This window comes from Homo sapiens, chromosome 9 (assembly GCF_000001405.40).
Source record: "Homo sapiens chromosome 9, GRCh38.p14 Primary Assembly".
In the NCBI taxonomy this organism is placed as follows: Eukaryota; Metazoa; Chordata; class Mammalia; order Primates; family Hominidae; genus Homo; species Homo sapiens.
Window position 1 is genome coordinate 69,379,523 of NC_000009.12, and position 13,864 is coordinate 69,393,386.

Here is a 13,864-nt window from a genome sequence, read left to right on the forward strand (position 1 = left end):
CAGGAAATGAGCCAAGAATGACAGAGGCTGAAGAGATATGGCAGCAAAACACATGTTCTTTCTGTACCTGAGGACACATTTGCAAAAATCTTAGCGCCGTCTCAGGCTGTCTGTAGAGGGTACATTGGAGGACAGTAAAAAATGACTGATATTTCATGGTGGGGATGAGAAATACCCTCTCCAATAAGAAGAATTCTTTGACACTGAGGTTGCGGATGAGCACTCTGTTGACCTAGGAGGAGGCAGCAGACAGATTTAGTTTCTGCAGTGGCAGAAAGGGAAAGTGACTCATGTGGGTTTAGGAGCCGAGCCATCCAGCAGTGTGCTCTGAGCACTCCCGACCTTCCTGTCTCCTCGCTTTCCTTTCTCTTCTCTGCTTCACCATAATAATGCTCATCACTGCAGATATTTCCACTCTTTAAGATCTAGGTGCATCCTCGGATTTGTCTCTCTGAGTCCTGAGACAGCCTCTGGCCAAATCCAGGTTGGAAGAAAACAGACAAGCTTCTCATCAAGGGCTTTATCCTTCAAAACTTTCTAGAAAGAAGGCCGAAGGAGGGAGTTAAAGCAAAACAGTCTTGTGAGAAAGAAGACATTGCCCAGTCTAAAATACGTGCCTAGAGCCCTATAATCATATTGCCAATGGGCAAACACCTTTATTTTTGGAAATTTTACCAATATCAGAGTGCAGTCCACTTTCCTTTTCAAAAGGGCTGAATTTATTCACATTTAGATACATGTCCTATCAAAAATATTTCACAATGTGACCAACTTTTCTAGATTCACGGTATAAATCAACTTTATAGACACTCATGGTTTAACCTCAGTTGGTAATTTTCTTTCTTTTAAGCAGGCAGGCAAGAATATTCATGATTGTTACTATTTTATGACCAGTTTTATCCAGAGTTTTCACACAACAGAGGCTCCCCATTTCCTGTAAGGTATTATGACCTCTCAGAAGAGGTTTGTTTAACTTCTATAAATACAACCACTTCATGCGTTGGCATCTCCTTGAGAAAAGGCTTCTCGAGTTACTGTCATAAACAGAAGTCTGATTGCAGTTGAGGTTTCTGTCCAAAGATGGGTTCGCTACTTTGTGAATTGATTTGTAATACAGGAGGGGGCCGTGCACCCCACCCCACCTCCGCTACTCCAGGGTGTCTCTGTTCTCAGAAGTTGGCTTGAGCCAGGGATCAAGGAGTCTCCAACCTATTTCTTGAACATGGATCTGGTTTTTACTCTGGGGATGTAGCCTATTAAAGAAAACCGAAGACTGAGGGGGTCTTGGGCATTGACGTGGTTGACATGGGCATTTCTTAAAGCAGAGCCCCCCCAAACCCCACTCATTTCCTTTCCTAAGAATTTCCAAACCCAAACTCAAGTGGAGCCGGGCGATGCTTGGGGTTGAGTCAGTGCTCAGCTGTAGAGGGTTGGGGGAGGGCCCTTCCCTCTCTCCCCCTCTGCAGGCAGCAACCCTGTACCCAGTCACAGGGTACAGTTTTCCAGTACAGGAGGAGGAGGATTCTCTGGTCAATGGTGTATCTGCTGCTGCATTCCACCTGAGTGAGTCTTCAGGGCCTATTTGTAGCCTGAAAGCAGAACATGCTTTGAATTTCCATCTTCAGTGCTCCTGAGCCTGCACCAGTGAAGTCTTCCTGGGGACTTGGTGATGGACTTGAAAGAGCCAGGCTCTAGAGTCTCTGCAGAGGGTGACCCAGGATGAGTCTCTCACCATTTCTGAGCCTCAGTTTCCTCATTCACCTTCGTTGTCATGTGGCTGCAGGGAGTATTGTTATGAGATAATGGACATAAGAAGCTTTCTGAAAAGAAGCAAGACCCTCATTCTTTAATAAAAATTTGATCAACTTTCCCAGTAGAACAGGGCTTTAATTTCAATCACCATTATCCATTTCCTTTTGCAGTGGTGCTCAATCTTGGTGGTGCATTAGAATCCCCTAGGAGCACTGACAACGGGCAGATTCCTGGGTCCCACGATAGGCAATGAGAGCAGAATTTCTAAAAGTGAGGCCTGGGCCATCCAGAGTTTCAGAACCTCCCAAGGTGATTCTACCTACCTTGCCAGGACTGAGAGCCATGGGGATCTGGGGAAAGAAACAGTAGTTAAAAACAAAAACAAAAACAAAAACAAAAAACCAACCTGCCAGTATGTAGCAGATCCATTTCCCTCCACAGACCCTTGTTAACACAAATGAGGTAAAATAAGAAATTGCTTAATAGGAAAGGAACTTTCCTTCTATGTCAACTCTAGCAGCATCTTCCTTCAAAGTGAGGCTTTTATGGGCATTATCAAAACTACCATAGAAGCTGTTTATTCTGTGGTCAGCTTGGATAAAGTATGCCCCCTCTTTCCCCAGTTGTTCTTCGGGAAGAAATTCTACAATAGTTTAGGATCTAAAACAGAGCCTGTTACTCTGACCTCTTGGCCCTCAGCAAGCCCTCTCCTCTCTCTGGACACGTAACAAACAGGCAACGGGGATAGAAACTTTCCAGGCAGGGGACACAGCAGCGAAGAAATACAGATGTCATTTGTTGGAGAGAAAAAGTCAAGTGTTTATAAGTGCTAGGAAGGTGGCTCATGGGGGCTATGCTCATTAAAGATGGAAGGCTGGCCCTCTGGAGAGGATAGAAGTCCATAGGTCTCATTGATGAAAGCAAATTGCACTGTTCATTTGCCAGGAAAGAATCTTCACTCTTAGATCCAGGAAGGGTCTGGCTTCTCAGAGTCACTCAGCATTTATAGTTCTTAAACAGTTTCAGTGGAATGGGGGAGTTGGAATGAAGCCCGTTGGCAAGTCCTGCTGTAAGGGGGAGAATCTCTCTTTCATAATAACTTTGCCAGGACCCCTCCCCCACGAAGGGACCCTTTGTGCTAGTGCCTCGCTTCCAACTGGAGGCTTGATGTGTTGCGTGCTGAACCTGCAAACATCTCCACTTCAGGCATTAGCTCATCACCTTCTGCCTTCCCCTTCAGGTCAAGCAAGGGATGAGAGCCTCGCTTACGAACAGACAAATATAGAGGAAAACGAGGGAGTGCTTTCTCATCTTTTCATTCAGGTTGCAGAGTCTCATTCTTCTCAGTCCCAGAATTCCAGAAGTTTTATTGTTAGGAAGAAAGAAGATGATATCCTTTTCAAATTTTTTCTTCCACCAATCACATTTTGTATATAGCCACAAAGAATAAAATGAAACAACTATAAATTCAGAGAACACTGCTCCCCAAAAGGCAGTGCCTGCAAGCAACTAGCCCCAGAATCTGTTTTCTCATCCATTTCTTTTAGCTTTTTAAAATCCTTTTTTTGTATTTCAAGAACAGACAAACTTTTGTTCTCTTTTTTTTTCTTTCATTCTTTGATACTCCATAGCAGAATGCAGGTGTTCTGGCTTTTATATGTATTTTATAAATTATTTTAAAACTTAGGTTCATCATTATCTAGATCATCTGGTACCTTGGGCAGAGATTTGTGGAATTTTCTGTCAACGTTGGTGAAAAATCTTGTGGAGGATTTTGCTATTATTTTGAATTTTGCTGTTGACGGTTCTTTACCCACAGGACAAAAACAAGAGTCATGTAGAATGTAAGACATAATTGAATTTTCCTGAGTCCTTAGCTGTTTTTTAAATAGAGGTGAAACTCATATAAAATGAAATTAACCAAAGTATATGATTCAGTAGCATTTAGTGCATTCACATTATTTCGTAACCATCATCTTTATCTAGTTCCAAAGCATTTTCAGTACTTCAGAGAGACCCCATACCCATCAAACAGTCACTCCCCATTCCCTTCTCCCCCATCCCCTGGCAGCCACTAATCTGCTCTGTGTCTCTATGGATTGTTTGCTTTTTGACTGATGGGTTTAAAAGCAATGATGGGGTTGCATTTTATACACTGTCATTTGCTTAAGGAACTCTGGCCACTTCGTCGGAGAGCAGCTTCTATTATTCTCCCTCTCCTGGCCAAGGAGACCATGGTATGGAGAGGTGAGTGGTTTTCCCCACAGTTTAGAGCAAAGCCAGTATCCGGGCATCACTGCAGTCACGTGGCCAGTCTGTAGAACGTGCTTTCTGACGCCAAGTCGCTTTTCCTAGGATGGTTGGTCCTGATGTTATTCCCCTGCCACACATCTACGGAGCTCGAATCAAAGGTGTGGAAGTGTTCTGTCCTCTGGATCCCCCGCCGCCATATGAAGCTGTGGTGAGCCAGATGGACCAGGAGCAGGTACTGTCTGTCCTGAATCTCTCTAAGTACATTGACTGCAAGTGGGAAAGACAGCACCGCCCCACCCCCTGCCCCCAGAGAACAGCAGGGAGACCGGGCCCCACACATCTTTTTAAGGAGTTCACTGGGTCTAATGAGGGGTGAGTTAAACATCAACAAAATAACCCTGTTTTTTGCTGTGATGCAGGGATCTTCATTCCAAATGTCAGAAGGATCAGAAGCTGCTGTGATCCCATTGGATCTGGGCTGCACACAAGTGACTCAAGGTAATAGATACATTGTGACATGATTCAGTAGATTAAAACATGATAAAATAGGCTGGGCAAGGTGGCTTATCTCTGTAATCCCAGCACTTTGGGAGGCCGAGGTGGGAGGATCACATGAGGCCAGGAGTTTGAGGCCAGCCTGGACAACATGGAGAGAGACCCTATTTCTACAAACGGAAAAAAAAAATGATAAAATAATGATCCTGTCTGGTATTGTGTTAGAGGGCAGGTATTCTTGGAGCAAATAGTTCAAGCTACACCTTTTTCTCCAGATACAAAAATACCATCAACTATTAGGGCTTATAAATGGGAGAAAATATGTGAACTGAAAAAAGATATCCTTGGAATTTTTTATGAACCAGACTATTCTCAGGAACCATGAAATAGGTTACAGAGTTTGATTGATATTCCTGTGTTTTCTGATCTATGATTTTCTTCCTCCTATTAATTAAAATTAGCTAGACTTTTGTCAGGGGAAAAAAAGTTTCCTCTATTGCAAGGTGATTTGTGGTAAGATTGTGCTGTGTCATTTATAACCTAGGGCCCAGGTCATGCTGCCCGAGCAGCTAATGAATTCTGGTTTTCAGTACTGCAGTAAGTACTAGAGTCAGTTTACATTTATCCTTGTACTTTAAGGGAACATTGTTATGGCCTTCTCTCTTTGGGGAGGTTTTAAGTGGCCCAGAGGATTGTCCACCAGGACAAAATCACAATGGTGATAAATAATGGATCAACTCTTAGCAATTTTAGATGAAGGTAATTTTTCAGCAGTACTATTTGTAATGTAATACTTTGTGTTCTGTTCACCTTCCATCCTAAGTAGAATTAATTATGAAGCAGTGTTCTGTCTCCTAAGTATGTTCATAATTTTTCCATTTTTTTTTTTTTAACTTTATTTTTATTTATTTTTTCTGAGACAGAGTTTTACTCCTTTTGCTCAGGGTGGAGTGCAATGGGACGATCTCAGTTCACTGCAACCTCCATCTCCTGGGTGCAAGTGATTCTCCTGCCCCAGCCTCCCGAGTAACTGGAACTACAGGCACCGCCACCATGCCCAGCTAGTTTTTGAATTTTTAGTGGAGATGGGATTTTGTCATGTTGGCCAGGCAGGTCTTGAACTCCTGACCTCAGGTGATCCACCCACCTCAGCCTCCCAAAGTGCTGGGATTACAGGCATGAGCCACTGCACCCAGCCAATTTTTCCATTTTTAAAAACAGTTTCTCGAATTACAACTCAGGCTCACAGTTTTATTTTCATGAGCATAAATTATCCAATTCCAGCGGGGTTTTACGGATTTGTTTAGTGGCCACTTGACTCTCTCTAACTTAGCCTTCCGGGAGTTCTGCAGCCCACAGAGCAGCCACCTCACCTGTGCTGGTATTACCTTCCCCAGAACCAGGCTTATCCTGAGATGTCAGGGTGCTTTTCAGTACTGCCCCAGAATGCTTCCCTGGAGAAGATTCTAAGCACCTTTAGGAAAAAAAAACCCCTGCCATTTTGGCATGGCTCCTTTATTTTGCTCTTGGATTTAAATTTTTCTGTTTGTTTGTTTTAGGTGTGGAGGGGTGGTTTGGAAAGGCAAGTTTTCCTGTAGTCAGTGATGTAAAAACTTACTGGGCCAGCAGCCTGAGTAAATGTTATTAACTGCATTACCCTTGCCCTGGCAGGTTTAGGCTCCCAGGTGTTTCCTGCCCATTTTGAGGACTGCAGCTGGTGAGATAATTTATGTTTCGCCTCTTTTTTTTTTTTTTTTTTTTTTTTAAATCAGATGGGGACATTCCTAACATACCTGCCGAAGAAAATGCATCCACCTCAACTCCCAGTTCAACCCTGGTGCGTCCTATCAGAAGCCGGAGAGCCCTCCCACCCTTGAGGACCAGGTCGAAGAGTGACCCTGTGCTCCATCCTTCTGAGGAGAGAGGTGATGTCATTCCCCAAGCTCTTCGCAGGGCTGTGTGCTTATTTGCCTAAAGGAGCCAGGTGAAGGCAGGTGGCTCTGGCCAGCTCAGGACCCTGCAGTTTAAGTGGTCATTTGAAGGAGCTTATGAGGTCTTGGGAAAGTAAAATATTCTACGTCCATGTTAGGAATATATATCTACCATGTCTTTTAAGGATGGTAGGGTTTTTTTGTTTTTTTTTAAAGTCATTGTCATCAAAAGAATTTGGTTGTACATGATACTATGCTAGGTACTACATGAAGACAATTATGCACACCTAGTTCTGATTTCTAGATGCTGCAATCCTATAGGAATATGCATTGTCTTAAAAAAAGTCAAAAGGATTTTTGTATACTCCCTCTTTTATAATTTGTTATATTTTTACTATGTATGAGTAGATGATTGAATTATTGAAATCTGACCTTGTTTTTAGAACTTTGGATAGAATGAAGTACACGCACCCACACAATTCACCTCTCTCTCTGTGTTGTTTGTGTATAGATGTTACCTGAATAATTAAAAATTAAAATAATAACACTGACTTTTTTCTGAATATATGAATACCTGAACATCTCTAAATATCTCTTCATTGTAGAAAATTATAAAAAATAAAGAAACTAAAGGAAGAAAATTAAAATCTCCTGTAACTCCACCAGCACCAGCTTCTTCTTGTGAAGTAGTCTAGCAGAGTTGACCTCTGCTGTTCTAAAACACCTATGCAAATAAAACTTTGATAATCCTCCACCCTGCTCTCTCTAAGGTCCTGTCTTGAGCCCTTGCAGTCTCAGTTCTGGCTCTCTGACAGTGTGTGTTATTTGCCACAGCTCTGGACTGACCATGTGCGAGCCAGAGAGAACATTCCTCTTGTCTCTACAGCAGCTTCTAAGTGGAGAGGAAGTCCTGCCGCCTGGTACTGAGCGTGTCTCTGAAACACAGTGGCCAGGCAGCCTGGCTTCTGATTCCCAAGACCTGCCTTCACTGTGGGTCTCCTACACCCTACCTGGCAAGTTGAGGACTCCAGCCTCAACGGGAACTTAGCTGTTTGCACAGCTTAGGGAAATCTTTCCAGAACCCCTTCTCATTCTGCAGACCTGCGGGGGCAAGAACAGCAGCTGCTGGAGCCCTCCATTGTGGAAGGCGCCAGGTTGCCTTCAAGTGGAAGAGTGGAGACCCTGACTCTGTCCTCACACGAGTGTCTTTGGCGAGTGCTTCTGGAAGACTCTTGCTGTCTGTGACGTGCATATGGCTGCCTGAGAGGACAGTCTCGAATCCTGGTTTAGAGCTCCCCACACCTGCCTTTCTCCAGAAGAAAGGGGGTGCTCCCCTTCTTCCACCTGCTCTCTCGCCCCCTGCTTCTTGTCTTCTTTGAATTTCTAAATTGCTGCTTATCAGGCCTTCATAGACTGAAGATGCCAATGTTGTGTATGCTGAAGGCTGCTGGCTGACTTCTGGACACATAATGACCAGATCTGAGTTTTGCTTCACACACTTCACAGTGCAGAAGCATTGCTGGTCTTTACACCCTTGCTGATATAGGCAGCCATGGAAATTAGAGCCTGCAGTGGATTTCCCAGGCTCTCTGTTGACTTCCAGAATGATGTGTACTTTTTCTGCACCTAAATTTCTCTTTTGGTAATAGCTATAGATCTACCTCATATCCATGGTGTGAGCATCGATAACACAAGTCAGTACAACGTCCTTGAGGACGTTTGGGACAAAGGTATAGTCAAAGTGATCAGAGCATTACATTCATCTGACAAGTCTTGTCTCTCTTCAGCCCCTTCCTCTCTTAATTGACTACTTCATCCTCGCTCCTTGGAACATCCTTTCATTGGTCAGCCACATTTTTCCTGCTTGGCCCATCCATCCCCATCTATTTGTCATACCCCATGAAACTTAACCTCATTATGGTTTGCATTCTGGATTCTCCTCTCCACCATCTGGCTTTACCTTGGGGGTGGTGTCGTACATGACACAATGACGTGTTTCGGGCCATATCCTATTGGAACTGGACTTCAGGGAATAACCTTGTGTTGTTTTCCCTCCTTCTGCAAGATGAAAAGCAGGATGTGCATGGCTATCAGCATTTGTCAGATGCTTTCCATGTTGAGTTTTGTGGTCTGTGCTTTCAGGTACAGGCATATGTTCAAAAGGGGTTGGCCAATGGGTACATGTTGTTTGTTTCTGCCCACAGCTGCCCCAGTGCTCAGCTGTGAAGCTGCAACACAGACTGAAAGGAGACTGGATCTGGCTGCAGTGACTCTGAGGAGAGGCTTGAGATCTAGAGCTTCGCGATGCAGACCGCGGTCTTTGATAGATTACAAATCCTACATGGACACCAAGCTGCTGGTGGCGAGGTTCCTGGAGCAGTCCTCTTGTACCATGACCCCAGACATCCATGAACTTGTAGAAAACATTAAATCTGTTTTGAAATCTGATGAGGAGCACATGGAGGAAGCCATCACAAGTGCCAGTTTTCTAGAACAGGTAGTTTTATTATTAATCTCAGGCATGAATCAGATGACTCATTTTCATAGCAGCTAAAGTGGCTTCTCCGCTTTCTTGTCCAAGGCAGAGTAAGTTCATGGTCACAGTCTTCAGGGAAATTGGGTTGAGAGTTCTGGGGAGGGAGACAGAGGAAGCCGGGGAGCTTTCTTTCAAGTGTGGTAACTTTCCCACATCATTCTTGGCTCAAGGGAAGAGAACCCAGTTTTTCTGGGATGTGGAAGCATGTCTGGGAAAATTAAAGAGTGCATCCTAGGAATAAAAGCGGAGGATGTGGACAGTGTGGAGTGCATTCAACATTTGATTTCCTGAATTGAAGGTTTCCTTTGATAGGGCATGTTTTCTCAGCCCTTTGGAAATGATGACATAGGTGAATTTTAATATCAACAAGATTCTAAGAGGCTGTTCACATTCCCATGAAATGTTTGGCAAGATAAATAAGCCAACAGGTCCTAAGGGAATAAGCACCTTTTCTTCTTGTAGATTAAAAAGTACAAGGCAATCCCCGAAACTGAAGCCACTTGGGGAAAAGATAGAATTGGGCATGAACATAATCCAGTTGGGTCTCAGGTTTCTCCTCTTTAAAGTAAATGGTTGGACTAGGTAGTCTCTCTACCTTTATTTTTGAATGAATGGAGTTTCCTTCTGGTAAGAGCCTTCTCTCCACCTCTTTTAAGAGCCATTCCCTTTTAGGTGTTGGCTTCATTGCTGCAGGTAGTGGGGTGGATGTTGTAGACAGCACCCCACAATGGCGTATGGATGTTTTGTGGCTCTGTGTCTTTGGGCATTAAATGGCTAACAAATACTTCCTCAACTGAAGTGGGCTAATTTCTCAGGGTAATTACCAACTTCAGGATGTAGGTAAATTTTCAATTCAAATTGAGTAAATACCCTCTCACTGTCCCTTCCGTTCCCCCTTTCTACCTGCTGGCCTCTTCTTACAGAAGCCAGAAGCCAAACTCTCTCCCAGTCCCTCAGGGGATTCAGCGGGGAGGAATGATCTGATTACTTGCATGAAGAGGTACATGAACCACAGACCCTCTTGGGTTTGCACTCTGAAAGAGTGATCAGTTGACGGTTCCGGGTGAGGCTCCAGTTACTAACCTATGTAGGGAAAACATTTTACATCCTGGTGTCCCTTAGCTACTCCAGATGTCATTGTCTGTCACCTTCCCTCTGTCCGGCCCCAATAGCCCAATAATCAGGAGTCACTTCTGGAAGGCTGCCAAGCTCTGATGAGCTAAGAGCTGGAGCATTCACCAGGTAGTGGGCCTGGACCTTCTGCAAAGTCTTGCTCCCTGAGAAATAGCTCTGGGGAAGAAGAACAAGCACTTATACAGTTCACTAGATGCTATCATCACAAATGTTTGCTAGATCTTTGTGCCCCAGGCAGGTTAAAACTTCAGGTGCTGAGATTGTTGTGATAGATTTTGGGCCATCTCCTGGGCCTTCCAGGACTGGAACCTAGAGGTGAGCTTTCACAATTCTATACCTTTTCCCTGGTAGAAGGAGGTAAGAACACCAGAAGGAGGTAAGGACAGCAGAAGGAGACCAGTTATTTCTGACTCTAGCTGGCTTCGCATCTTGGAGTTTTTAGATCCATTTTGATTTTCACTGATATCAAAACCACTTGTCCTAACTTACTATGTAGCACAGTCAACTTCTTTGAATGTTGAACTTTTATTCTTAATCGGGAGACAAGGACAGACCTTAAAGACAAATGTAATTAGTAGACTGTTAATAAAATTTAATTTTCCTTCTTTGGAGGAATAATCTTTTAATGACCTTAAAGGCTCAGAATGGTACAAATGAAACAAAAAGTCATCCAAATGATTGTGCTGTGATGTTAGGTAACAATAAAGCCCCAAGGTTTTCCGAAGCTGCTGACAGTATTATGGGTCAAAGAAACATGGCAGTGCAATTTTTAAAAAATTGACCGGACAGTTCTCTCCTCTTCAATCCCAGTTGGATGAGGAATTTTTCATATTTTTGCCATTTTTACAGAGTAAGTGATATTATTATATATTCAAAATTATGTTTGTGACACATTGCAAAATAGATCTAGCAAAAAGAATCATTCTTAAAGACTTTTTACAAATAAATTGGCCTAATTTTTATATTGTTTATTAAAGGATTATCAGATCCATTTGAAGCATCATTGGATGGTTTGGGTTGACTGTTTCTTTTTTGAAACAAGGTCTCCGTCTGTCACCCAGGCTAAAGTGCGGTGGTGTAGATATAGCTCACTGCAGCCTTGAAATCCTGGGCTCAGGTGATCCTCCTGCCTCAGCCTCTCAGGTAGCTGGGACTACAGGCACACACCACCACGCCCAGCCAAGTTTTCTTATTTTTAGTAGAGATGAGGTCTTGCGATGTTGTCCAGGCTGGTCTAGAACTCCTGGGCTCAAGTAATCCTTCTGCCTCAGCCTCCCAAGTAGCTGGGACTACAGGCATGAACCACCATGCCCAGCTAATTAATTTTTTTTTTTTTTTTTTGTAGAGATGGAGTCTCACTATGTTACTCAGGCTGGTCTCAAACTCCTGGGTTGAAGTAATCCTCCTGACTCAGCCTCCCAAAGTGCTGGGATTACAAGTGTGAGCCACTGCGCCTATACTTGGTTGACATTTTATAAACCCATCACCTGGTCCCAATCCCAGACCAGTGGTTCTTACTTGGATTCTTGTTAAAAATACAGATTCCTGAGCCTGAGTCCAGGCTAACTGTCCCCATTGCTATGGGAATTCTGTAGCAATTTGCTGAGAATTCATGTTTCTGACAATACCCGTCCCTCCCTGACCCAGTAGTAATGTTCAGATGCCAGCAAGGATCACTGACTTAGACTTCAGAGAAATTAGAGAAAAGCAATGAGAAGAATGTTAAAGCAAGAAATTGCAACGGACAAACCAGTTAAGTGTGGTTTACGGGTCTACAGCGGACATGGTAGAACATTTGGAGGATTTACAAAGAACCTCTGGAATTCCAAGTGAGTTCCACTTTGGGAAAATGCCTTTTTTTTTTCTTTTTCAAAGCAATTACACATTAAGATAGGTGGATGGACCTAGGAGGTAGGTCAAAGGGCCACATCTGGTAAAGCTTACTTAACTTCTCCCCACCCCTCTCTTTTCCCAAAGATAATGGCCCCATTGCAGCCCAGCACATCCAGGGCCCACAAGCTGCCCTCGCGGAGACAGCCTGGCCTGCTGCACCTCCAGAGCTGCGGCGACCTTCACACCTTCACACCAGCGGGGAGGCCCCGAGCCGAGAGGAGGCCCCGGCGAGTGGAGGCTGAGCGGCCACACAGCCTCATTGGGGTCATCCGAGAGACTGTCCTGTGAACCCTGGAAGACAGAAGGCCACTCCAAGGGGAAGGATCCCTCTCCTCTCTGCCATTTCTTGGCTGGGAGCTGTGGTCCACCTCAAAAAAAAGGAGCACTCTGGAGGACACGTTTTCCCACCTGTTGGCTCCCGTGTCTGCTGACTGAGGGCATTCAGGAGTAAATGCACAGGTCGGTCCAGGCCCGTCTGGGTTTGGGATGCACTGAGTTGGAGGTTATGAAAGCTTTGATCCTCTTCTTCCTCTGCTGGGCCTCGCAGCATTCCCAAGGGTCACATGCCCTGGCATGGGCAGAAACTGGGCTAATGATTCTTTGCCCACTTCACCCCTCGTGTCTCTCTTTGTTGCTAAGTTCTTTCCCTCTTGGAAGGACAGATCTGCCGGGCTGCTATTTATAGTTGCCTTTGGCCTTTCACTGCTCTGCGATTTGGCAGGAAATAAGGCGATTAACCCTATGTGTCCACAAGCCTCAAGCCTTGTTTCAGGTCACCCTCAAATCACACTCTCTTTAGGCAAAACAGGAAACTTCTTAAGTGACAAATTTTAATGCCAGACATTTAAGGAGAGGATTATTGTTGATTCCATTTACTCATGCTTGCAAAACTAGAGACCCCTAAGGCAGAACTGAGAATAAACATGTTTACTTTGGGCCACTGGGCTTGATGTGTAATATTTGTTATTACATGTATCCTTCGGGCTGTATCGTTCATTCAGCAAGCACTTGGCTGGATGGCTTCATGGAGCTGCCTTCTCATGGGATCACGGACAATAAATCAATAAAGTAATTACAGATTGGGGATTATTGCTGAAAAAGAGCAATAGGTGGTTAGAGGGGCTTCTTCTTCGAGGAAATGGCACTTGAGCTGAGTCACGACTTAGTGGATCAGGGAAGAATGTTCCAGGTAGAGAGAGAGGGGCGAAGAACACCAGAGGCCACTGTGACCACAGCCCCGAGTCAGGGCAGCGGTGGGCAGTAGCTGCACAGGCTGCCTGTTGTGCTAGCAATGAGATACTGTTGAGGAGTTTTCAGCAGAAGAGTGATGGATGTCAGCATATTTTCAAAAGATCACCATGCTGCATGGAGAATAGTTTGGGCCAGACATGAGTGGAGGTGAGGAGTTGAGTAGAGAGGTTACATAGGAAATGGAGTACTGCTTCTTGCTGGGCACTGCCTGTGCACCAGCTACTATGCTAAGAGCTTTGCACACACTCCTATTTTGTGCTCATGACAGCATAGGCGGTGGAAGCTATTATTGTCCCTATTTGACAGATGTGGAAAATGAGGTTCAGTAATTTGCGCACGGTCCCTCCGCAGCTAAGGGGTGGAGCTGCCATTCACACCCAGGCAGTCCAACTCCAGAAACTGCTCTGTTCCTCGACCTCCCAAACATGAAATTGGTTTGCCATTTCATGCTTCTGTGGGAAAGGGCTGTTAAGACTTCTAGCTTGCCTCTCCAGACCACAGATTTCCTGGGTCCAAGCCAACGAACCATGCCAGAGTGGGAACTGTGGTGGGGACAAGGGATGGAGGAAAGGAGGGGAAAGACACTGGTGTGGAGGTGCTGAGCTGCGGTGGGAAGGGG

At 44.6% G+C, this 13,864-nt stretch overlaps 1 protein-coding gene across 9 annotated transcripts in view; it reads left to right on the forward strand.

The window, feature by feature from the left end:
- ENTREP1 (endosomal transmembrane epsin interactor 1) overlaps window positions 1–12,934 on the forward strand; it is a 67,890-nt gene extending 54,956 nt beyond the window's left edge. For 5 of the 9 annotated variants that reach the window (NM_001127608.3, NM_001347995.2, XM_017015324.2 and 2 more), the window contains 5 exons: window positions 4,108–4,237; window positions 4,425–4,503; window positions 6,273–6,425; window positions 8,636–8,928; window positions 12,079–12,934. In NM_001127608.3, the coding sequence (NP_001121080.1) occupies window positions 4,108–4,237; window positions 4,425–4,503; window positions 6,273–6,425; window positions 8,636–8,928; window positions 12,079–12,282 (859 nt within the window). In that variant the 3' untranslated portion in view covers window positions 12,283–12,934. The other 4 variants (NR_170669.1, XM_047424086.1, XM_047424087.1 and 1 more) reach the window with 4 other exon arrangements.